Source organism: Homo sapiens, chromosome 5 (genome assembly GCF_000001405.40).
Source record: "Homo sapiens chromosome 5, GRCh38.p14 Primary Assembly".
NCBI classification, from domain to species: domain Eukaryota; kingdom Metazoa; phylum Chordata; class Mammalia; order Primates; family Hominidae; genus Homo; species Homo sapiens.
The window spans coordinates 20478222-20505981 of record NC_000005.10 but is presented as its reverse complement, the minus strand read 5'-3'; the positions used below and the strand labels follow the sequence as shown (position 1 = coordinate 20505981).

Below are 27760 nucleotides of genomic sequence, written 5' to 3'. Positions count from 1 at the left end.
GTTACAATTCAAAGCCACAGGGACCAGGCATAGCACATGTGTGAGTGTGGTGTCCTAACTGATGGGCCACATGGAGTGGTGGAGTCTTTCTCGTGGGGGAGTGTATGCTCTGCAAGTCCAATGCATGCTGCCATTCAGAAATAGCTCAGGGCAGATAACCTGATTATTGAAAGAGAAGCTAAACTTCTTTACTTTCATGGGAAATTGTTAAGTGTTTGTGAAACAATGTGCAGAAAATGCATCTGAAGACCAGATCTGTGTGACAGTCCACAAGTTGGTGACCTTAGATTTCAAATATCTCTCAAAGCTACTCCTTCATTGTATCTTTTATATGTTGTATTTGTAAAATGTGTATGTGTATGTGTGAAAGAAAATTATTAATTTTAAATAAGTTGTGAATATAACATAGAAGGTGGGCATGAGCTCACGTAGATAAAAATGTGTTAGCAATGTTGTATATGAAAGTCTAACATTAAGTCATATTTGAAATTATGAAATATTAGTTCTTAAATATACCATGATGTGTTGGAAAATAATATCTACCAAAAAAAGAAAGAAAATTTAAAAAGTTAGATTGCTTTATCACCTTTAAATATATGCCATCTTAATCTGATATATAGAAAATGTTAAATTGAACACTATACTGTCCTTTCTAACTTTTTCATAAATATTCCTCACACAAATCTTTCTAAAACTTCTCCAATTTGTCCTAGAGAGCACTTTAAAAACATCAAATATAATCATGTTATTTTTCTGTTTAGAATCTTCACAGGATGTTCTCTTTGTAACAGACTGTACTTATACCACCAGTCTTTATCTACATGTATTATATTTTGCAGGCTATCTGAAATTTCCCCCATATAATAGATTGGTGATTTTTTTTTACTAGTAACTTTGCTTAAAGTTCCCTTTTGTGGCCAGGCGCGATGGCCGACACCTGTAATCCCAGCACTTTGGGAGGCCGAAGCGGCTGGATCACGAGGTCAGGAGATCGAGACCATCCTGGCTAACACAGTGAAACCCCGTCTCTACTAAATATACAAAAAATTAGCCGGGCGTGGTGGCGGGTGCCTGTAGTCCCAGCTACTCAGGAGGCTGAGGCAGGAGAACGGCATGAACCTGGGAGGCAGAGCCTGCAGTGAGCTGAGATAGCGCCACTGCACTCCAGCCTGGGTGACAAAGGGAGACTCCGTCTCAAAAAAAAAAAAAAAAAAAAAAAAATTCCCTTTTGTGTTCACTTTTTCTACCTGCCAAAAGACTTTATTTTTTATTAAGTTTAACTGTTCATTCTTTTTATTAAGTCTTCCTGATTCCCCTAAAATTACTTTGATCTCTACATCTATTAAAGCATCACTGCACTGTAAAATATTGCTATCATACTAATTATAGCAATCTCTTTGCATGATTCTATATGTACTAAGTGATATAGTTTCTATATTTCTAGATTGTAAGCTACTTATGAGAAAAAACGAGTTCATGGAGTCTTTCTAAAAACTTTTATTCAAGGCGAATACTCAAAATATCTGTACAGTTTTGTTTTAATAATCACGAAGCCGTGTTTTAACTATGTTGTTCAGTGTTGCATATACACAAACACACACATATGCCTTTATGGAATACCATTAAAGCATTATAATAATTCATATGAGTTTCATATGGCAGATTTTTCATAAAAATCCCAGAAACAAACAGGAAATCAAGAGATAAAATTCTGTTCTGAACCTTTTAGAAACTAAGTAAAGTTTTTGCTTCTTGAAACCTGGGTGGCTGGATGACCTAATCCTTAGACTTAGCGTCTCACTAGTATCTTAAATAAAATAATCATATTATATATCCAATAGTTCTGCTGTGAGGATTTCATTATTATGACATAGTTGGAGCTCAAGACCATAAATAATTTTGTAGCAGCAGTACTAACTCTCTCTCTCTCTTTTTTTTTTTTTCTTGACAGAGTCTTGCTCTGTTGCCCAGGCTGGAGAGCAGTGGCGTGATCTGGGCTCACTGCAACCTCCGCCTCTCGGGTTCAAGCGATTCTCCTGCCTTAGCCTCCTGAGTAGCTGGGACTACAGGCGCCTGCCACCACACCTGGCTAATTTTTATATTTTTAGTAGAGGCAGGGTTTCGCCCTGTTGCCCAGGCTGGTCTTGAACTCATGAGCTCAGATAATCCACCCGCCTCAGCCTCCCAAAATGATGACATTACAGGCGTGAGCCACCGCACCTGGCCATAACTCTTTCTCTTGCCTATGCACATGTCAAAATGTGTTTTCCTGCATCTAAGCAACTCTTTTCCATATGAAAGGTAATTGGCTGCATATAATGATAACGTCCTCTCAGAAGGCTATTGCCTCTCAAATCTATTGCTATTCATCTCCTTCTATTGCCCCACTCTTGGGAACCTCTGGAGATTGCTGACCATAATTTCTGATATATGAGTAGAGATACTTATGTTTAAAAAGTTTTATCTTTGATAAGAATATGACTCTGGAAAAATGAGAATGATATCAACTCAATGATTAACTCTGTGACTGATAACTCATAGGGATTAATTCTATGATTTTTCATTAATTTTATTGATCTGTAAATATATTAACACAATAGTTGATAAAATATTTCACTTTAACTTATCCAACTATGTCATAATTATATAAGAGCCTCAATTAGTGGGTTTAGTTTTCGCTTATATAATATCAATTAAAAAAAAGTCACTGTGTCATTGCTGGGAAAATGTAAAAAAAAAAAGAAATAAAAAGCTAAGTTATTACATGTTTAGAATCCTACAGTTTTTTTTTTAAATTTGTGTTTGTCTAAAAGATTATAGATATTATGAAACTATACATCCCCATCACTCAAATTTGAATTAATGTGAAACTAATAGTTGAAAAATCTGATTTAAAAAACCTGTCTATTTGCAGCACTACATTAACTGGAGTTCCCTAATTGGCTTTCTCTGTCTGTGTAAGAATAACCCCCTTTTTTTCTAAGTTCAGGCTAGCATTGACCTTTTTCTCATAAAAGCAGAATTTATTCATATTAAGTTTAATTGTATAGTTAATGTTTTCATTGAGGTGCCTATTAAGCTCCTTTCTGACATTTCTAAGATCACTTAAGGTTCTGAACTTGTCATGGCAAAATGTCAACCCATCAAAGTGGCCAATTCTCCTTTATAAATGTAGTAACCCTGACTGGTTCTTCCTTTTCTTTGGTAGTTTGTCAAGCCTGTCCCATAGATCTGCTTTAGCCATTTCCCAGAAGAATTGTTCTAAGGATTTCTTATTATACACCTTGTTTGTTTTAAGATCAATGTCATGATCATATTTATCTCTTAAATTCAAAAACATAATTATTTTTTCTACCAATGCTTGAATGAATATGTATTTACAGAACAGGGTTAATCTACACTTTTTAAAAATAAAAACAGCATCTATTACAAGCAAGTGTTTATAGCAAGTCTTCTCAGATAAATATTACTTGCCACACTTCATTAACCTACCCATTAGAACTGAATAATTGAAGAACTAGGGACAGTGACTCCATCTTTATCATCCTTGAGAGCACTGGGTTTCATTAAGACATGAACTAATGGTTGAATAAGAAGAAAATCCTTGAGGCAGTTTTTGGTTGCTGCTGATATACCTTGACCTCTGGTAGTGTGTTATATTTTCTCTTACTCATATTTTCACAGGTCGAGTGTGTCATGCATATTTATCTATAGCATCAATCTTATTGATTTAGAAACAAGTAATCCATTGAACAACATAACTAGTCATCCTTGGAATAGTTCAAAAAGAATTATGTGAAATAGAAAGCACACCTTCATTCTTTAAAAATACTGTCTTCTGCAAGATAAGCAATCTAATCTAAAGCTAGATTTAGTAATATTTGGAATAGGCTGACAGGAACATTTCTGAACAATGGTGTCAGAGCAGCTCGTCCTAAAAGATACACACTGTTTACTTCTTTCTCTGACAAGTTTATATGACCTTCTAATAGCAAATTCATATCTGTCATTTAACTTTAGAATCTAACTCAATTTCTTTTGCTGTTTTCTTGAAATAATAAAATGTGTGTGTGTGTGTGTGTGTGTGTAAGGAAGTATTTTTTAAGGAAACTTCAATCTCCTGATGGACTGAGTTCTTCTTCAAGAAAGAACTTCAGTGTTCTTTAATATTTTGTAAATAGGCACAAGTACACTTGGGCTATACTTATTCAATCTGTAAAGGTATACACACACACACACACACACACACACACACACACACACAAATCCTTAAGATTTTAGGGTTTGGCCAGGAGGCAGAGCTTGCAGTGAGCTGAGATTGCACCACTGCACTCCTGCCTGGGCCACAGAGCGAGACTCCATCTCCATATATATATATATATATATAATATATATATATAATATATATATATTATATATATATATTATATATATAATATGTATATAATATATATAATATGTATATAATATATATAAAATATGTATATAAAATATATATAATATGTATATAATATATATAATATGTATATAAAATATATGTATATAAAATATATATATAATATGTATATAAAAATATATATATTTTAGGATTTGGTAACAGTGAAGTATAAATTATAGAAATAGTTGATTATTTAGCTGTATAGAAAAGCTGTAGAACAGTATCTATTTGTTAGTGTAATAACGTTCCATTTATGTGGCAAGTAATGTGACTACACATGGATATTTGCTTTTAGTAATTCCACAGTTATTTACATTTAATAATTTTACATGTTGCTAAAGCTAGGGAAGATCTTGAAAATCATGTTTAATTCCTTAAAGTATTTAAACAACCTCATATAAGGGAAGTAAAGTCACTCAGCTAGTTGTTGACAGAATTGACATTTTATTTGCTGTGTGATGTCATGCTCACATTTAAGACAGAGTGACTAAAATTTTCCAAAGTCTTTAGAATATTTGTGTCCTTATTGTTGAGTTGCTAGTCCAAGGTCAGTTGAGTTCTATGATACTAAATTTGAACTATAGCATCATTCTTCTTAGAAACAAAATTATAAACTACTTAGTCTAGACCTAACTGATTAAATATCAAGTATTACTTTGTAATGTCAACATTAATGTTCAATGTTATACAATCAAACACTGTAACAGTAACTTGGGCTTATGTTTTAGGCACTTACTATATGGATGTCCTTGGAATTATATGTCAACACTTCATCTTATAGCCTTATTTAAACAAATATTTGGACACATTTGCACATCATTACAACTGCATTTGAGTACATTGTTTCAGTACAGTCAGTTTTCCTAACTGTGCTAAGATATTTACCTAATGATGCTTTAAATCCATTTACAGCATACTTACTAAAGGAGCAGTGCATGTCCGAAGCAGATCTAAGCCTCACAGTTCTTTTGATAACGAATCACCAGTTTACTCCCAATACCAGATGAAGGCCATTATACCTGTTCCCAGATGTTCACAATAATTTAGAGGCGAGATGAGTTGTTCAATTCCCCAGGTGCCCCTGGCCAATTCACTCCTATAATTAGTGTTATAGTCCAGGGATATTTGGTATATTAAATATTAGAATTTGTTTCCTTGAAACCCAGCATTTGTTAGAAGGATGTGCAAGTCAATCAGTTTCAGATGAGCATCAAAAGCCAATTTCTATTTTCCTAAAATTCATATTATAATCTACATAATGGATGCCACCACAGTTTCTAAGAAGAAGTTATTTAAATGTACTTCTCCAGAAAATAGCACCAGCAATTTAATTGTTTGAGTGCCTATAGAACTGTAGAAAAGAAGGCATTTTCCAGCATTTGATATTAAAATGTTTATTTTTGGCATAAGAGAAAGTCACAGTAATTATTTTTTACAATTTTTAAAACAAAAAGTGGACAGTGACATGAGTTTAAGGCCGGTATAAGCCTAGAAACTAGATATTTCTATCTATATATCTACAATGGTCTGTGACAATTTAAAAACCTGCATGGCATCACAGAAGTGACATAGCTGAAAAAATTTACAAGATAACTTTTGGTGAAGGTGAGGGGAAACAGGCATGCTCAAGTATTACTGGGATAAGCACAGTTCACATAAATATAAATTTATATACTTGGAATGGCAATTTGTCAGTATACAGCAAATTTAAATTATTTGTCCTGTCAGATTTATCATCCACACGTGAACATTTATTGATTTGCTATATGCATAAGATAACTATTTACCCATTCATGTAACAAACTGCCTTTGCATTTGTTGACTGTTGATGTCTGGAAACCCACTAGAAAACCTGTTGATAAGGCAAAGCTAAGTTTATTAAATTTACTGCAATTAAGAACAACACCTTCACTGACTCTGAGCATTAGTTCAAAATGACAAATTAAGGCACAATATTTTTAGAGTTTAAAGGTCTGGGGACAGGTTGGGATTGAGGAGATGTTAAAACAATAATTTTGGATTAGTTGGAATTGTGAGGCAAAGACTTTATAGCCCCCAGTTTTTACGCAGTCAGCCCTCTGTATCTGTGGGTTATGGATCTGCAGATTCAATCAACCTTGAAGTGAAAATATTTAGAAAAGAATAAAAAATAACAATAACAATACAAAAATAAAAATAATACATATAAAACACAAAACAGTATAACAATCATTAAATATTTCCATAGCATTTACATTGTAGTTTGTATTCTAAGTAATAGAGAGATGATTTAAAATATATAGGAAGATGTGCTTAGCTTGTATGCGAATACCATGCCATTTTATATCATGGACTTGAGCATCTGTGGATTTTCGTATCCATGGGGATCCTGGAACCAATCCCTTATAGATACCAAGAGAAGACTGTGTGTGTGTGTGTATGTGTGTGAGAGTGTATATGTATATATAGTTTAGTTTGTTCACAGCTCACTTATCTTTGAGGAGCTGTAATTGCTTGAAGCAGGAAAGAGGAGGATTATGAACAAATTGTGAGCTGCGTTTCTAAACCAGTAACCCAGAGTATGCAAATTAAACCAGGAAACACAAGCTCAATACAAAAGCTTCTATAACCAGATATTTAAAAATATTCACTCATTCTGTTAAGTTACAACCATTTTAAGCATAGAAATATGAAATGTAGAATTTAATTTAAATCTATGTTTAGTGACCATTTAATTTTTTTCTTATTGTAGCATTTGTAATATTAACAAAATTAAATATTTAAATAAGACACGTATTATTACAAGCTCACTTTAATTATCTGTTTGATATTTTTGTAATAACCTGTGGAAACAATAAGAACAACATAGAATAAGAACAGTTTTAAAATTTAAATCATGAGAAATTAAAGTGAAATATGTTATCAACTAAAGGATTATTTTAACATTATATTTATATAGTGATACAATTAATGAAAAATCATAATCACTGTGAGTTAAACACTCATAGGTTAATCATGGAGTTAATATAACTCTCACTTTTTTAAGTCATCTTTTTATTGAAGATAAAATCTTAATGTTTTTAAAATAAGTATCTCTCTATACACATCAGAAATTATGATCAAGCAATCTCCAATGATTCCCAAGAATATGAAGAAGTGGAGGAGATGAATAGCAATGGATGTGAGAGGGAGTAGTCTTTGGAGAGGAAATTATCATTACATGCAGCTGATTGTGTTACATCTGGAAAAGAGGGAGCTTAGATTCAGAAACACATTTTGAAATGTGCATATGCAAGAGGAAGAGAGAATTACTACTGCTGGTACAAAAATTATGTATGGACTTGATATCATCAAGTCACATGACTATAAAGTTAGTAGTTACTAATCCGCAAAGTATAGCACTAAATAAGGATTGTCTTGGTTCACCTGGGTTGAATGAATGGCTTATAAACAACCAAAAAATATTTTTCACATTTCTGGAGGATGGAAAGTCCAAGATCTGGTTACTGGCAGATTTGATCTCTAGTGAGGACCCACTTTATGGCTCATAGATAATACCTTCTATCTGTGTTGTCACAGGGGGAAAGGGCAAGACAGCTCTCTGGGACTTCTTTTATAAGGACACTAATCTCATTCATGGGGACTCCATCCTCATGATCTAATTACCTCACGAAGTCCTCACCTCCGAATAGCATCAGACTGGTGATTAGGTTTCAACCTGTGACTTTTGTAGGGGACACAAATACTAACAGCATAGTATAGCAAATGCTTTTTTTATATTTAATAAACGAACTCTCTTTTTGACAGACAAGATATTTTCTCATGAGGGTCTCTTTTATTTTTCATGCATTATTTCTTAAAATATCTACTTTCATGGGTAAGCATGGGTGAAAAATCATGACCTAGTTTTCCACCACTACAGTCATGCATTGTTTAACAACAAAGATATGTTCTAAGAAATTTGTCCTTGGATGAGCTCATGCTTGTGCAAACATCACAGCGTGTACTTACACAAACCTAGATATTATAGCCTACCACAAGCCTACAGTATATAGTACAGCCTATTGCTCTTAGGCTACAAACTTATACAGCATTCTGCTGTACTGAATACTGTAAACAATTGTAACACAATGGTAAGAAATTGTGTATCTAAGCGTATCTAAATATAGTAAAAGGCAATAACAATATGGTATTATAATCTTATGGGACCACAATCACACACATTGTTAGTTGTTGACTGAATCATTGTTAATTAGCCTGTGATATATTTTAAATTTGTTCTGTATTAGTTAATTCTTTGACAAGAACTATAAGAGAAATTCAAAGCTCTTTCAAGAGCCTATAAGGCTCAAAACAACCTGGTTCACGATTACTCCCTGAGCCCTCACTTACTATTTCCCTCTTTGCTGCCTCCACCCCAGCTTCATTGGCCTTTATGACATTAATTCAAACATGAGCACTGCTTTTGCTTGGCTATTCCTTTTGACATTTGCTTTTCCTTCAAATTTCTAAATGGTTTCCTTTCTACCTTCTCCTTCAAATCTTTGTTCAAACATCACCTTCTCTGTGGGGCCACACTGAACAATTTTGCCCCACCCTCCACTAGCACCCACAGCTCCTTCATGCCTTTTCTCTTTTATTTTTTTATTTTTATTTTTGTAAAATTTGTCAACTTCTAACATCTCATAAAATTTACTTATTTTTTATGTTTAATGCCTTTATCCCCCTCTGCCTCCACAGGCAATAGACTGAAAGCTACGTAAGGTTAGAGATAGGTGTTTGATTGCATGGAGAACTGTGTCTTGAGCATAGCAACTACTAATTATCCTTTATGAAATAAATGAATGGAGGAGCATGCTTATAATATTTTCCATGCCATACAAGTAAAAGCGTGAAGAGCACATTTACAATTTATCTCTCAATTACTATAAAATTTTGCTCTGAAACGATAATTCCCACATTGTTTCCTCATTAGTATATTGGCGACAGAGCGAGACTCCATCTCAAAAAAATGAATATTAAATAATCACCATAATTTTTTATCAATTGTATATTTTAAATAATGGTATATTCAATTCTATGTGTAAAATATTAAATATTCTGGATTACAGTGTTATTAATTTTCCTTTATTTTTGGATTGGCAGACATTAATCCACTAATTTTTATCCTAAAAATCATGAATATTTTATCCTTTCACTTTTGTGTTTAAAAGACAATATGATTAGGTTTAAAATTTTGGGGTCACACCCTTTAAACGAAAACATGAACATCACAGTATTGAGCTGTAGAAACCTAAAGATAAATTGTTTCCCCTTTCCTAGTAACTTGTTTATTTTACCCAGGGGGTTTGCAATCTCCTTTATTTTAAATTCACTAATATCACAAAGATAAGTCCTGTGTTGACCTAAATTACTTTCTCAGTATATGGTGTGTTTTTCAATCTTCAGATGCCTATCTATTTCATCACAGTCTTAATTACTTATTTATCTGTTTCCTGTTCCATTTCTTTCTCTTCTCAACTCAATAATATTATTTATCCACACTTGGATCTCTTTTGTTTCTTATATTTATCATCTCTTTATAACTGATTTTGTCTCTTGTCCTGTCCAATTCACAAACTTTTATTTTGTGACTTAGTCAAGTTGTATTCCATTCTTCCTGAACTTTTCAGATGCATTAATAACTATGGTGTGGCTGTTGTTTCTACTGTGCCTTATTTCTACATTGTATTTTCCCATTGCTATCTTTTGACTTTATTTTCTGAGTTCTAGAACTCGATATTTAAATCTAATCTGTCTCATAGTCTCTCTTTTGTCACTTTTGTCTTTTTTTGAGATCTCTTTTATTAAACAGAGATTATGCCAACAGTATCTTTGTGATCACTATGGTCAACTATTAGTATAAACTCTTTCTTGTTTCCTGGTTGTATGTTTTTCCTGTGACATTTCCGCTTCCTGTTTCTGTAGGTAGATGCCATGATCTGATTGTTCTTTGGGAGGAGCACTTTCAAATTAGAGATGGAAATAGAGAAAAATAAAAGAACAGTTGGAGTCTTCAACTTCAGTTGTGGTTTGTTGCTGAATAGGCTGTCATTACTATAGCATTATCATTTTATTTCTGAAGCAGGCTTTAGAATAATCCTAACCTGGGCACTGCTTTAAGCATTCTTTTTTGTTGTTTTTGCCAATGCCGTTCTCCTTTAGGTTATTGACATTTGTTGTCTCGGTTGATTTGTGAACACATTAAAAGGGCCTTAACATTTATACAGTAAAACTTTGAATTTCAAATAATCTAAGTATAAGAGAGAAGAGAAACAAAGAGAAACCTGATCTTGACTGAGGATGTAACCAAAGAGACTTTCAGATTGGAAGAGAATGAGCTGTCAGAGGTTTTGAATGGCCAAATATTCATACGGTAGAGAAAAAAATGATAAACTCCAAGGCCAAGTTACATAAAATTATAGAGAAATGAGAAAGGTACAATGTTATATTCAGGTGTTTTTGCCTGTACAATTTACAGCCTTGTACTTTCACATTTCCTCTTATTTTTCGTCATTCAACTGTGGAGTTGCACCTAACAGAGACCTTAAACCTAAGAAGTTGCTGGGATTCACTGTCTCTCTCTGCTTCCCTCATTCTATCCCCGAATGCTCCTTTGGCCAAGACCCAGGGCTGTGGACAATTAAAATAGCATGTCAGCATGTTTTCCCTTCTGCTCCTTTCCTCCGCTACTTCTTGGTAATAACCGACTTTTTCTGTAGGGATATCCCCACTCCTCCAGACCTACTCATGTTTCGAGGCTGCATTGCTCTAAAGAAGGTGGCCATAGAAAGCCCATCAAGAAATGAGACTCTGGGTTATCTGGTTTATCCTAGACAGAACTAGGAGCTTAGATTTTCTCCCCAGGTTGGGTACTGACTTGTTAACATTTCTTCAAAATGTTCTTCTTTTGAAGGCATTCTTCAAAAGTGTGGTTGGAAATTATGGCCAATTTCTTTTTTCATGAGAAAACAGTTATTTTCTTTTTTTCAATGTGCTTATACTTTTTCAGACAGTTTTGAGATAGAAAAATAAGAAAAAATATGTATATTGTCATCTTGAAACGAAAATTCCTGTACAGTCATGTAAGGTCCTCTTCCCACATTTTTTATCTACTTTCTCACAACCTCCCTCTTGAAGTTTACATTTTATTAGGACTTTGAACACTCCCTGCAGACATTACTGCTTCTTCTCTTATCCCTCTCTGCCTTTATCCTCTTCCTTTGTACTTCTAATATCTACACTCAGTTTGCAGTATTTAAAATTTTATATTATGATTTTTTTATTTTCATTTTGGAGTCTATTCCACTCTCTTCAATTTGGGAACTATTTAGAGTATTTGTCTATCTCTAAGAAAACTACGTTGTTTGAGTAAAATAGTAGCATAACTAGTTTCCAGTCTGTTTGTTTGTTTTTATTTGTTTGCTTGTTTGTTTTTAGTATAGATGGGGGTTAACCATGTTGGCCAGGCTGGTCTTAAACTCCTGAACTCAAGTAAAACTAATCCACCCACCTTGATCTCCCAAAGTGCTGGGATTACAGGCGTGAGCCACTGCACAAGGCTGGTTTTTTTTTTGCTGTTTTTGTTTTTGTTTTTGTTTTCTTAACAGAGGGTTTTTCTCATGTGGGAGACTGAGTATGGAAATGGACAATAGTCAGACCCGATGTAACACCAGAAGCTTGACCTATAACTTCTGAGCAAGGAGTCCACACACTTTGCATCCACCCATCCTGGCAAACCAAACCATCAACTCTAAGGCAATTTACCCAAAACAATGAGGACTTGATCAATGACTGCCTGATCCCCATTTCTTCCCATGCTTTCACACAGGACCAACAAAAGAGGAAAAAACATGCTCCCAAATGAATTATATAAGATGCCCAGTTCTGTTAGCTGCCCCCAGAATTCCCTTGCCACCTTTGATTCAGAGCATATTTGAAGTTTTCCCTGTTGTCACTCTAAAGCTCTCCAGCACCCCACCTGCCTTGGGGTCTGCCTTATGCAAATGATGGTAGCTGACTCCCTTCCTATAGCAAGCTCTGAATAAATAGCCTGTGCTTGTTCTCATTTGAGTGGCCTTTGTTTATTTCCACAAATAGACAACAGAAACAATAAAAAATAAAACAAAAAATTCTTTGCTTTTTTTTTTTTTTTTTTTTTTTTTTTTTAATTTTCTGAAACAGAGTCTTGCCCTGTCACCCAGGCTGGAGTGCAGTTGCATGATCTCGGCTCACTGCAACCTCCGCCTCCCAGGCTCAAGCAATTCTCCTGCCTCAGCCTCCTGAGTAGCTGGAACTACAGGCAAGTGTCACCATGCTGGCTAGTTTTTTGTATTTTTAGTAGAGAAGGGACATCACCATGTTGGCCAGGCTGGTCACAAACTCCTAACCTCAGGTGATCTGTCCGCCTAGGCCTCCTAGAGTGCTGGGATTACAGGCATGAGCCACAACCCCGGGCCAAAAACATATTTCATAAAGTTTTTTGACATTGAAGTATTTCCATAGTGCATGACACAAATAATCCTGTTTTTAACTCTTTATCATCTACTAGAGTCTGTTTCAAGTTTTCTTGATCAGATGTTGGCTTATCTTCTTAGGGACTGTCATTAAATATCTATTCTTTTCCAGGTTTAGTCTTCTAAATAAATATATTATGCTAAGCAATGAGTGCAGCGATTCATCAAGGCATGTGTGTGTTATCAAAATATCTCTGCAAAACATCTGAAAGAAATCTGGGGGCAAAAATATATAATGTATTTTAAAACACAATTTAGCATTCTTTTATATACAGTATTCTAATATGAGTATGTGTCAATTGTGTAATTATAAGTACATGAAATATCTTAAATATGTCTCAAACTTTCTTTTTCTTATTATACCATTTACTTATTTACACAGAGCTTTGCCAAGAACAACCTTTCCTGTCAAGTTGAAAGACAAAGTTACTTCCACATAAATCTAAAAATGAACTTTACCAACGATATTTCATATGTATAACATTTGAAATGAAGAACTGTATTTTCATGTGCACTCTTGATTTTAGTATTCCTTTTAACATTTCCACAACTTTACTAGGGAAAGTTCAAAAAATATAAAATGCTTTGGTTGAAAAATATGTTATTTTAAATTATAATTGTTAAATGAAAGAAATAACTGCAAATTTAGTATTCTAACCTTGTCTATATTCAGCCAATTTTCATTTTTTTTCCTAAAGAAAGTCAGGTGATGCTGAAAACCAAAGAAATTTATAACCAAATAATCACTTATAAGGGGTTTTTGGAAAGTATATTATAGTGTAGCAAATGCCCCTATATTTTATTACAGTTTTATTCTGGCAAAAAAAAAATCAATGTTACTACTTAACATGACTGATGAGATTATACCCCAAAAGGGAGGTACAGTATGGCCCTCAGAATACGTAAATAATTTGTTTATCAAAATTATTAAGTAAACCTACTGAATTTTTCTAGGCAGCAGAAAGAAATACAATCTGTAAGTAAGATGAAAATAATACACAAATCCTGTATTATATTGAATAAAATAAAACATATTATTAAAAGTAAAAATTAAATTAGAAAAAATAGGTAGAATAGTAAACATTATGAAAACTGAATTCCAATGTTTAAGAAAAGGCCCATAATTTAATTGTTACAGAGAAGGTTCCCTGTGATGGTTAAATTTATGTGTCATTGTGGCTAGGCAGTAGTGTCCAGATATTTGGTCAAACATAATTCTGAATGTTTTTGCGAAAGTGTTTTTGGATGATATTTACATTTATATCAGCAGACCTTGAGGAAAGCAGATTGGCCTCTATAATTGTAGGTGGGCCTCATCCAATCAGTTGAGGGCCTGAATACTACAAAATCCTGATCTCCTTGAGCAAGCGGAAATTCTGCCGCTGATGCTCTTTGGACTTGTCCTACAACACTGGTTGCTTCCTGAGTCTCCAGCCAGACAACCTTCAGACCTAGACAATAACTTTGGCTCTTTCCTTGGTCTCCACCTGCCAGCTCATCTGGCAGATTTTGGACTGGCCATCCTTTATAATCACATGAGCTAATTCCTTTATATAAATCACATTCCCATGCAAATACATCCTATTGGTTCTAGAGAACCTGTTGGAGGACCCAGACTTATATATTTCCCCTCTTTAAAAATTTCCTGTTTTACAGTTAAGAATTACTAAACTTACGATCATTACCTGGTTTTCTTGTGGAAATATCAATTGGTAGCTTAACTCAGGAATTTAATACATGGAGAATGGTGAACATTTTAGACTATACTCAAGTTTCTAAATTCTTTTTAATAATAATAATAATAATAATAATAAACCAAATACTATACCTAAACATCATAGGGAGAAAAATTTAGACATATTTTAGAATGTTAATTCTTTGTAGGATGCTAATTTGTAAAAATATTTAAAAACTAAAAATATAATGTATGCTTTTAGTTTAAATTAAAATTGCATATGTATTTAAACTTATAATTGTTCCATGAAAATAAATGTCACTTTGAAGTGCTTATACAATTTTTGAAAGGATCTACTTACTTTCCATTAAATGGACTTAAAATGTTAAGGATACCCCCATCATTTAATGTTTTGTATTCCTCAAATTATTTTTAGTGGGAAGGTAATTATGAGAAGAGCTAAAATTTGAGTTTTCAATATGTACAAGGTATTAAGCTGTATCTTTTTCATGTTCTCATTTATTTACATGAACCTTAGGAGGTTAGAATGGTTGAATGATTTTAGAGATATGGAAAATTGCATCATAAAGAATAAAATAATTTGCCCAAATCCAAGTGGCCACTGAACTGCGTATTCAGAACTTGACCTCAAACTCCAGGCTGTTCATCACTAAGTGAATTGCAGCCTCTATCTATGTACTTACTTACCCTCCTCTTGAACAAATGTGGGTTTATTTTCAACTTATCTATAATAGTCTTTTTCTGTCTAGTCAGAGTGTAAGGTATTTTTATTATCATATTTACATTTCCTCTTTATCTTCATAATTTGATCACTCACCTAATGAAGCCTTCTAATAGAACTTTGATTGTTTAGTATGAAGTTTCCCAACTTTTTATATTAAAGATAATTAATAAGGGAGGTAGGCATGTAATTAGAGTCAGGAGAACTAAACCCCAGCATTGTCTCATTCTATTATCTAGAAAGTTGTATAGTCTCATTGGCTATTGATATTAGAAAAAAGGAAAGGATAAAATTCACTGCCACTAAGTTCTATGAACATTTTACAGTCTCTAAAAATGACACACTATAATGTTTGCCATAAATCTGTAAAGCCTTTTGATCATAAAAATGGCCCCAGGGCCCGAATGCATGGTGGGAGTACAAGCTATTATTTATCAAAATGCCATTGGTCTATCATTCTTTAGCGAGTAGCAATGATTATTTATTAATTAGTATTATTAATAATATTAACAATTATATTATTATAGCAATTTTATCTATAGAATATTCAATTAATGATTTATTATATTTATTATTTAAAACCCTATCAGATAAGATGGAGCATATGGAAAAATCTTTCTAGTTTGTATATGTAAATAAAAATCTAGTGTTTTCTTTAGACATTTTAGTAAAGTTGAATCTATTAGATAAGAACATGAATATTAAAATAAAAACCTGAACCATATAAGCATTAAAAAAAGCTTGAATAAAAGTAAACATTGTTATTCCCTACAGTAACCATGGTTATTTTATATTTCATTTTGTCAGCTACAGAACTTCAATGTTTGAAAACAATTGCCATGAAATTTCAACCCAGAGCTGCAGGACGTCAATTAATTTTGAAAAAGATTATGATTTTCTTTAACCTAAGGCATAATTGGAAGTAAAAATGTAAGAAACAGAAGAATCTGGAAAAAAACTTTTTTATCTTGAACTGTAATAGGATGAATATTTAAATATATTACAAACTTACTGTGAATTACATAAATCAGTTATTTAATAAACAGGTCACATAATTTTAGCAACTCCACTTGGAACTTTTTCACAAGATCATTTTTTACAAAGAAAAAAGTATGAAGGATATAATTATCCATCTAAAAGTTTTAAACAATAATCATTATTTGCTAGTGTTTGGAAGTTACATAGTTCATTATCAAAATATTCAATAATCATTGCTAGCCTTATGATTGGGACCAATTTACCCACATGTATAATCTTTTATCAGCTTAAAAATACATGTAGTATTATTGTCTGGTATCATTTGTTTGCCATCCAGAGTGGATATGCTCTAAACATTAGCTTAAAATTGTGAGAGGGGAGTGGAGAGATCTGTTTTCTTTGTCATATCTAAATCTCAAGGAGAACAGCTTGTGTTTACAAAATCAAAATTTAAAAATAGCTGGTATAGTGAATGATACATATAGAAGCATAGAGGTCTCAGCAAGTTTCCTGGATGTATGTAATAGAGATATGAAAATAGATTTTTGAGGGTTATGTTGATTAAATGAGCAGGTAAAGTGGAAGCTGCTTCCATCTTAACTACATCTGAGGAATATGGAGTCTGTATTCGGTAACTGTATTCTCCCCACTAAAGAGGTAATGTTGAGATATACATGTATGAAAAGCAGTTTGTCACCACAATTAATATATGAAAATTAAAACCGCAGGTTCTTTGTTGCATTATTTTGGCATATAGTTGGCACTTAATAAATATTTTCTATGACAACAAATATTTTCTATCTCTAAGGTCTTAGGTTTACATAAATGTGGCTTTTCATTTAGAAATTAAGAACTGCTAGTTTTATTATTCCTCCTTCAAGGAATTTTATTGATAAACAATTGTATGTGTGTGTATATATATATATATATATATATATATAAAACACTACCCCTCCAACCAAAAAGAGCATATGAATTTCCTACATTATCGTTACCAAGGCAACGACCACTACAAAGCAATGACATATTTATGTAAGTTTTAAATCCAACATAGACATTGTTTGTTTTAAGTAGTTTTGGGAAGAGATCATTTTAATGGATGGAAACAACATCAAATTTTACCTTATGTGCTTTTTATACTATCCTTTGTCCTAAATTCTGAAAGCTCCCTTTATGAAGATTCAAGGAATCCACATCCCCTGCATGACACACCACACTGAGCTCAGTGAAAGACTGACTCACCTTGTCAGAAGAAATGTCTTAAAAGGGTACGTGAAAATCCTTCAACTGTTTCTTTTTAAAGCATTTTTAACTTGATTGTACTTTTGCATATGTGTATGTATGGACCTAGGTGAAATACAATTACAGGCTGCAAAATTACAAGTGATGCATATGTATTTAAAATATTTTTAATTATGATCAAACCTTTAGATTTCCAATTATATATTTTATAACATGAGGATATTTCTTTTGAAATTGCACTAAATTGTTGAAATTTGAAAAGGATAAAAAGAATCTTCCCAGGAGCAAAATATATGACATTTTCAGAACTGCAAGAAAGAAATGGCATCCATGGAAATGACAGGCAGGACAGCCAATCAGCCACTGAGAGATGGGCCATCGCTAAAAGCAACTCCAAATTCACTGAACAGCTGGAGGAGACTTCCACAGTGTCTCATGTTCAGGTTTTACATTAGGATCTCGAATTGTGGTTGAGGAAATCTAAGAAAATTAAACATGGCTAATTTATCTTCGTGATATTAAAATCTGGAATATTGTCATGGAGATGTGATTTAAAATACTGTGTACTATTTAATAATACTATTAAATAGTATATATAGCATATATATATATATGCATGCTATTTATTGTTTCATGTTCATAATTACCTAACAAATTTGTGGCAGTTAATAATGAAAATGTTTTCAAATTATCCTTAGGATATGCACTTCCCATTTCCAGATTTTGAAATAAAATAAGGAATTTATATACTTTGGCTGTATAGTGATATTTAAGATATAGCAAACCCCCAAATGTGGAAATTTGATATTTTATGAACATATAATAAGTTGTACCTGAAATAGATAGATATATGTATATACATATATTTTGTATTTATTTTCCAAAATAATTAAATTTCTCATCACCTATACAGTAAATATATTGATGTAGCCCGATTATATTTTTCTCTGATTAAAAGTAAATCCTGAAACCTATATATATATAGGTTTATACATATATAGGTTTATATATATATATAGGTTTATACATATATAGGTTTATATATATGTATCTCCATATATATATGGATAAAACATTTTTAGATGAGTGGGGATTCAGCATAGGAAACAGAAAATGCTGGGATTTTCATTTATGTTAAGAATGGATTAACAGAAAATTAGATCCCTTAACGTCACTGGAAGGGTTAGAGGTGAGGACCTAGAGCCAGTACCATGGGAAACTTTGTTTCAAGAACCTGCAACCACAGTGTTGAACTAGAGATCCAGAAAACACTGCAGGCTTTGCAGCCAGTGCTGCTGCTGCCACAGCTGTCATACACTCACAACTGTAACGCAGTCAGGGGAACATGAGTCCTGGCTCTGCAGATGCTCCTGTCAGCTGTAACCTATCCCTAGGCCACAACCACTGCCGGAAGGCAGCATCTTCTGCCTCCCTGTCGCCACTGCAGTTTTCATGTTGAGACATCCCAGCAACAAAAACCATATCTGGTTTAAATCTGAGTATAGAACTTAGGCAATAGTTTTCCAGCCCCTTAGCTACAAAAGTTAACATAAAAGAAATAGAAAATTTTGACAAATTTTAGTAGATAACATACAGTACCATTCATCTCTTTACTATTTAATTTCAATGGAGTACACACAACACACACACACATACACACACACACATATATGTATATATATATATATATACAAAAATAGCAACAGGTAAAACAACTTGCTCCTGTTGAATGTAATGAAGTCTTCCTCATGTTAATAAAAACATGCTTATGACTCATCAAAAAAAAGGGATCCAAAATTCATCAGTTCAGCTCCCAGGTCTGGGTTACAGCTAATCTTATTTTGGTTTGGTCACAATAAAACTTTAATAATCAGAAATTTGAGCTCTAAATCATAAAGATGATCATCACCTACACATGCCTATGAAATAAGAGAAACAAGATAGAGTAAAATGTATATAATATAAATGCTAGCATATACATAATATGTATTATATTTATTGTTGCATATATTGAGTGAAACATGCAATCTCTATAGGCTTTGTTTCAGTCATTATTTGTAAGACCAGAGTTGATCTTTACATATTGCAATATACCATGTTCCTTTTGCTCTTAGATATCGCTTACTCTTTTCAATATTTTCGACTTAATGAAATGACTCAAAACTTCAATTTTGAAGTCCTTGCTAGTCTAATATACTTAGGGCTTATCTAGTCTTCCATTCACATTTACAATTAGAACTGGGGTTTTAAGAAGGCACCAGCACATCCTATGGATTGCAGAAAAGTTCTTCTCTATATCCACGCTGGTACAGCAACTCTTTTAACCCTTCATAATCGGGATCATCCAGCCAAATAACAAGCCCCTTCTTTATCTGTTAGTTTCAGTTGCAAAAGGAAGCCCACATGACCCCATGGAGCCTATTCCATCACTTCTTTTGCTTAATACTCTTCTATATTTGTTTACAATATACCCAACTTCAAAATAGCCTGGTTTAAATATTATGCTCATATACATCATATATGTGCTATGAAATTGCTACTTCATTTGTTATGTTAACTATGACATGTTTTTCCTACAAGATATCCCATTTTTGTTGCCAAAATGTACCCTCAGGTTACTCGCTGAAAGCATAAAGATGCACTTATAGAGGAAGCAAAACACTTTTTTTCACCCATGAGCCTGAAAATCTTACTAAATTCAGTATTACTTACCTCAGATTGTTTCTGAAGATAGATTTTGATGGAAGAATTGAGACATTATATGAAAAAATTAAAAGGCTAAATTAATTTGAAATAGAGGAAATTTATTAGATGAACTTTATCTTTTCTGCACAGCCATATACACATATGAGCACTTATATTTATAATGCACAAAAACTGTATACACACAATTAACATATTTAGTTTTTATCATCCTTCCACAAGTATATGTTCTTGTCCATATTGGGGCTTAAGCCATGCCCATTGTCATATTCAGGATAGATAAATGGTGTCCTGTCCCTTTTGTTAGAAGTGTGTTAGTTCTTTGAATGACCAATAAACATTACACACATGTCATCTTCAATGGAAAGCCTACAGTATAACTCAAGCCATTAGTCAGTCTTAGAACACTGGTATAGTTGTAGTGTCAGAATGACAAGAGGCGTATCAGAAGAGAGAAATTAACAGCTAAAGTCACAAAGTCCCTGTGGTTTGAAATAAAGACTAGAATGAGACAAGCCAGATACTGCTAACACAGGGGTGAAAGCACTAGTTTTCTTCTAACTGCTCCACTTATTTTCCAGTGGATTGTTGTCATATGTCTGAATCATACATTAGCAACAGTCTACCATTGACAACATTCAAACATATCATTATTTCAAAAGTTTAGTATTCACTTTTTTTATCAATCACCTCAAGAATATATCATTTCTTTGTGTTATAAACAATCCAAATATACTCTTTTAGTTGTTTCAAAATGTATGATAAAATATCATTGACTGTAGTCACCCCATTGTGCTATTGAACACTAGATCTTACTCATTCTATCTAGCTATATTTTTGAACCCATTAATTATCCCGCCACTACCCTTCCCAGCCTCTGGTAACCATCGTTCTACTCTCTATCTCCATGAGTTCAATTGTTTTAATATTTAGCCCCCACAAATAATTGAGAACATCTGGAACTTTTCTTTTTATGTCAGTTTGTCTTTTTGTGCCTTTTATTTCACTTAACATAAGGACCTCCAATTCCATCCATGTTGTTGTAAATGACAGGTCATCATTCTTTGTTATGGCCAAATAATAACTCCATTATGTATATGTAGCATATTTTCTTTATCCATTCATCTGTTGTTGGACACATAGGCTGCCTTCAAATCTTGGCTATGGTGAATAGTGCTGCAATAAACATGGGAGGGCAGATATCCTTTCCATATACTGATTTTCTTTGTTTTGGTTATATACCTAGCAATGAGATTACTGGATCATATAGTAGCTCTATTTTTAGATTCTTTGAAGAGCCTCTAAAATGTTCTCCATAGTGGTTGTACTAACTCACATTCCCACCAACAGTGTACAAAGATTCTCTTTTCTCCACATCCTTGCCAGCATCTATTATTGCCTGTCTTTTGGATAAAACCCATTTTAACTGAGGTGATAAGATATCACATTGCAGTTTTAATTTGCATTTTTCTGATGATCAGTGATTTGGGCACCTTTTTATATATCTGCTGGACATTTGTAGGTCTTCTTTTGAGAAATTTCTATTCAGACCTTTTGCCCATTTTTATTCAGATTCTTAGATTTGTTCCTATAGAGTTGTTTATTCTTATATATTCTTGTTATTAATCCTTTGTCAGATGGATAGTTTGCAAGTATTTTCTCTCATTCTGTGGATTGTCTCTTCACTTTGTTTGTTGTTCCATTTTTAGTGCAGAAGATTTTTAACTTGATGTGATTTCATATGTCCATTTTTGCTTTTGTTGCCTATGCTTGTGGGGTATTTCTCAATAATTCTTTGCCCAGACCAGTGTTCTACAGAGTTTCCCCAAGGTTGTCTTTTACTAGTTTCATAGTTTGAGGTCTTAGATTTAAGTGTTTTTAATCCATTCTGATTGAACTGATCTATATGGCAAGAGATGGAAATCTATTTTCATTTTTCTGCATGTGGATATCTAGTTTTTCCAGCACCATTTATTGATGTGTGTGTCCTTTTCCCAATGTATGTTTTTTTTTTTTGGCAACTTTCTTGAAAATCAGTTCACTGTACAGGTATGAATTTATATCTAGGTTCTCTATTCTGATTCATTGATTTATGTGTCTTTTCTTTTAATGCCAGTACCATGCTGTTTTGGTTATTATAACTTTATAGTATAATTTGAAGTCATCCAAAGTGATTCTTCCAATTTTGTTCATTTTGCTCAGGTTAACATTGGCTATTCTGAGTCTTTGGTAGTTTCATAGAAATTTTAGGATTATTTTCTCTATTTCTGTGAAACGCATTATTGTTATTTTGGTAGGAATTGCATTGAATCTGTTTATTGCTTTGCATAGCATGGAAATTTTAACAACATTGATTCTTCCAATTCAAAAATATGGAATATCTTTTTCTTTTTTGGTGTCCTCTTCAATTTCTGGCATCAATGTTTTGTAGTTTTTATTTTAAATATCTCTCACTTATTTGGTTAAGTTTTTTCCTAGGTATTTTATCTTATTTGTAACTATTGTTAATGGGGTTACTTTATAGATTTCTTTTTCAGATTGTTCACTATTGACACATAGAAACACTATTGGTTTTTGTATGCCGATGTTACATCCTTCAACTTTACTGAATTTATCATTTCTAATAGTTTTGGTTGAAGTATTTAGGTTTTTCTAAATATAATACCACAAACAAGGATAATTTGACTCCTTTCTTTCCAAATTGGATACTATTTATTTTTTTCTCTTGTCTGATTTCTCTAGGCAGGACTTCCAGCACTGTTACTACAGTGGAATAACAGTGGTGAAAATGGGCATCCTTGTCAAGTTTTGAGATCATGCAGGAGAGGCTTTCAGTTTTCCCCCATTAAGTATAGTACTAGCTGTGGGTCTGTTGAATACGGCTTTTATTGGTTGAGGTATGTTCCTTCTATAGCCAGTTTTTTTGAGAGTTTTCATCAGGAAGAAATATTGAACTTTATCAAATGCTTTTTCAGCATCAATTTAAATTATCATATGGTTTTTGTCCTTCATTCTGATCATATGATATATCACATTGATTAATTTGTGTATGTTGAACCACACTTGAATCTCTAGAATAAATTTTGCCTGGTCATAATAAATTATCTTTTTACTGTATTGTTCAACTCAATTTGCTAGTATTTTATTGAAGATTTTTGTATATACCTTCAGCAAGAATATTGGCCTTTTTTGTATTTTTCTTTGTCTAATTTTGGTATCAGGGTATTACTGGCCTCATAGAATGAGTTTGGAAGTAATCTCTTCTTTCCTACTTTTTGTAATAGTTTGAGTAGGATTGGTATTAGTTCTTAAACTTTTGCTAAAATTCAGCAATGAAGCCATTGGTTCCCAGGCTTTTATTTGCTGGAAGACTTTTTATTATGGTTTTAATCTCATTACTTGTTAATAGTCTATTCAGGTTTTTGATTTCTTAATGGTTCAATCTTAGTAGATTATATGTGCCTAGGAATTCATTCATTTTTTCTAGATTTTTTAGTTGGTTGGCATAGAGCTGTTCATAGCAGTCTCTAATGATCTTTTGAATTTCTGCAGTTTCAATCGTAATGTCTCCTTTTCCATCTATAATTTTATTTTATTCTTCTCTCTTTTTTCTTACTCTGGTTAAAGGCTTATTGATTTTATCTTTTCAAAAAAATAAATTTTTGTTTTATTGATCTTTTATATTTTTTCAATTCAATTTCACTTATTTCTTCTCTGATATTTATTATTCCTTTTTTTCTACTAATTTTGGGTTTGGTTTGCTCTTGCTTTTGTAATTCTTTAAGCTGCATTATTAGGATTTGCATTTGAAGTTTTTCTACTGTTTTGACATAGGTGCTTATTGTTGTATACCTTCCTCTTAGTCCTACTGTCAGTGTCCCAGTGGTTTTAGCATGTTGTGTTTCAATTTTCTTTTGTTTCAAGAATTTTTAAAATTTTCTTCTTAATTACTTTTTTTGACCCACTAATCTTTTAGGAGCATGTCGTTTAATTTCCATATGTTTGTTTAGCTTCCAAAGTTCCTCTTGTTATTCATTTATAATTTATTTCCATTGTGGCCAGAGAAAATCTTTGTTATAATTTCAAAATTTTTTGAAAACTGTTACCTAACATATGGTCTATCCTTGAGAATAACCTGTGTGCTGAGGAGAAATATGTGTATTCTGTTGCTGTCGAACGACATTTTCTCCAAATACCTATTAGGTCCATTTTTTCTATAGTGCTGATTAAGTGTGATATGTTTTTGTTGATTTTCTGTCTGGATGGTCAATCCTATTGCTAAAAATGGAGTGTTGAAGTCTGCAGCTATCTCTCTTTTAGCTTTAATAATATTTGCTTTATGTATCTGAGTCCTCGGATTTTGACTGCATATGTATTTACAATTCCTATGTCCTTTTGCTGAATTGAGCTCTTTATCATAATATAATGATCTGCTTTGTCTCTTTTTATGTTTTTTTTTTTTGGCTTAAAAAGTTGTCTGAATTAGCTACTCCTCCATTTTTTCTTTCATTTGCATGGAATATCTGTTTTCAGCCCTTTATTTTCAGTCTATGTGTGTCTTTATAGGTGAACTGTGTTGAAGGCAACAGATACTGGGTCTTGCTTTTTTTTTCCTGGCAGCCACTCTATATCTTTTGACTGGAGAATTTTGTCCATTTACATCCAATGCTATTATTAAGTGAAGGCTTCACCTTGCTATTTTGTTATTTGTTTCCATTTTTTGTGGTCTTCTTTCCTTTACATCCAAATTTTTGTGAATATGATTTTCTTCAATGGTATGTTTCAATTTCTCACTTTTTATTTTTTGTTTATGTGTGGCAGTGGCAGTTCTTTTTGATTTGAGGTTACCATGAGGTTTGCAAATAACATATTGTAACCCATTTTTTTAAATCTGATGAAAAAGTAATGCTGATTGAAAAAACAAATAAAATTACAAGCGAGCAAAAACTAATAAAAACTCTATACTTTGGTCAGGTGCAGTAATTCCAGCACTTTTGGAGGCTGAGGAGGGCAGATTGCTTGAGGTCAGGAGTCCAAGACCAGCCTGGCCAATATGGTGAAACCCTGTCTCTACTAATACAAAACTTAGCCAAGTGTGGTGGCACATACCTGTAATCCCAGCTACTTGGGAGGCAAAAGCATGAGAATTGCTTGAACCTGGGAGGCACAGGCTGCAGTGAGCTAGGATCACCCCATTGCACTCCAGCCTGGGCAACAGAGTGAGACTGTCTCAAAAAACAAAAACAAAAACAAAAAGACTCTACACTTTAGCATAATTCCTCCTTATTGAACTATTTGTTACTATTATTATCTTGTTATACTGTCTATGTCTTGAAAAGTTGTTGTAGTCATTATTTTTGATTAATTCATCTTTTAATCTTTCTACTCAAGTTATCAGTAATTTACATACCACATTTTCAGTGTTATAATTTTCTGTATTTGTCTGTGTACTTACTATTGCCAGTGTGATTTTTACCTTCAAATACTTTCTTATTGCTCATAAATATTATTTTATTTCAGACTGAGAAACTCCCTTTGGCATTTCTTATAGCACAGATCTCGTGTTGATGACATCCATTAGCTTTCATTTGTCTGATAAAGTCTTTATTTCTCTTTCATGTCTGAAGGATATTTTTGCTGAATATATTATTCTACGATAAAATTTATTTATCTCAGCACCACATATATGTCATGCCACTCTCTCCTTCCCTGTAAGGTTTTTATTGAAAAGTCTGCTGCCAGACACATGAGATCTTCTTTGTATGTTTTTTCTTCCTTTTCTCTTGCTGCTTTTAGGTTACTTTCTTTATCATGACCTTTGATTATTTAATACCTTAGAGTAGTTTTATTTGGGTTAAATATACTTGGTGCTCTGGAACCCTCCTATACTTGAATATTGATAACTTTCTCTAGATTTGAAAATTTCTTTGTTACTATTCCTCTGAATAAACTTTCTACCCCCGTCTCTCTCTCTCTACCTCATCAGGCCAATAAGGCCAATAATTTTAAGGCCAATAACTCCTAGATTTGCCCTGTTAAGACTATTTTCTAGATCTTGTAGTCATGCTTCATTCTTTTTTATTCTTTCTTCCTTTTGTCTCCTCTGTGTATTTTCAAATAGCCTGTTTATAAGTTCACTGATTCTTCTGCTTGATCAATTCTGCCAGTAAGAGACTCTGATGCATTCTGCAGTATGTCAACTAAGTTTTTCATTTAAAAAATGTCTGCATAATTGTTAAAAATTAATTAAATCTCTTTGTAAATTTGTCTGACAGTATTCTGAATTGTTTCTGTGCTATCCTGAATTTCATCAAGCTTTCTCAAAACAGCACTTTTGAATCCCCTGTCAGAAATTTCATATATCTCTGTCACTCTGGAATTGGTCACTGGTACCTTAGTTACTTCTTTTGGTAAGGACATATTTTCCTGTATGTTCTTGATGCACATGGATGTTTGTCAATGTTAGGGCATTGAATAGTTACCTATTTGTTTTAGGCTTTGTGGCCTGGGTTTGCTTGTATCTATCTTTCTTAGGAAGGTTTTCCAAGTATTCAAAAAGCATCGAGTGTTGTTGATCTAAGTTTTTGGTCAATGCAGCCATATATGGTTTGGGGAGCACTCCAAACCCAGTACTGCTGTGACTCTTGCAGATGTGTAGAGATACCACTCTGGTGGTCTTGGGTGAGATCCGGAAGAATTGCCTGGATTACCAGGTAGAGAGTCTAATTTTCTTCCCACACTTTCCCTCAAACAGAATCTCTTTCTGAGCTGAGTCATCTGAGGCTGAGGGTGTGGTGACACCAGCACTTCTGTGGCCATCATCACTGGGACTGTGCTGGGTCAGACCCAAAGCCAGCATAGCATTGAATCTTACCCAAAATCCACAGTGATGACTTTCTGGCTATTGCTGATGTTCACTCAAAGCCCAAGGGCTCTTCAGTCAGTACGTGGTGAATCCAGCCAGGCTTGTGTCCTACCCTTCAGGGTGGTGAGCTCCCTTCTGACCCAGGGCTGGTTCTAGAATGCCTTCCAGGAGCCAGTGTCGAGAGTCGGGAACCTTAGGAATTGACATGGTGCTCTATTCTGTTGCTTCTGAGCTGGCACTCAAGTAAGACAAAGTCCTTCCCAGTCTTCTCTCTCCTTTCCTCATGCAGAAGGATTTTATCCCCATGACTACCATTGCTCCAGGCCCACAGCAGTTACTGCATGGCCACCTTCCATGTTCACTCAAGGCCCAAGGGCTCTTTATTCAGCTTGTGATGAATGCTGTCAGGCCTAGATCTCTGCCTTCAGGGCAGCAGACATTCCTCTGGCCCAGGGTGCGTCCAGAAATGTCATCCTGGAACCAAGGCCTTGAATTGGGGACCCCAGGAGCCAACTTTGTGCTCTCCCCCACTATGGCCAAGCTGGTGTCCCAGCTGCATCTCAATGTCTCCCTTACTCTTTCC

The 27760-nt window shown here is 33.6% G+C and overlaps 1 protein-coding gene across 8 annotated transcripts in view; it reads left to right on the top strand.

The window, feature by feature from the left end:
• Window positions 1–27760, top strand: part of CDH18 (cadherin 18) — a 1104418-nt gene that overhangs the window by 69732 nt on the left and 1006926 nt on the right. Inside the window, exons 1-2 of one of the 8 annotated variants that reach the window (XM_017008928.3) lie at window positions 15954–16319; window positions 17533–17635. The exons of 6 other annotated variants lie outside the window; for them this stretch is intronic. The gene's annotated coding sequence lies outside the window, so the exon portion shown is untranslated. Of the gene's footprint in view, window positions 1–15953; window positions 16320–17352; window positions 17636–27760 lie in introns of those variants that run through there. One more of the 8 variants, XM_017008926.3, reaches the window with a different exon arrangement.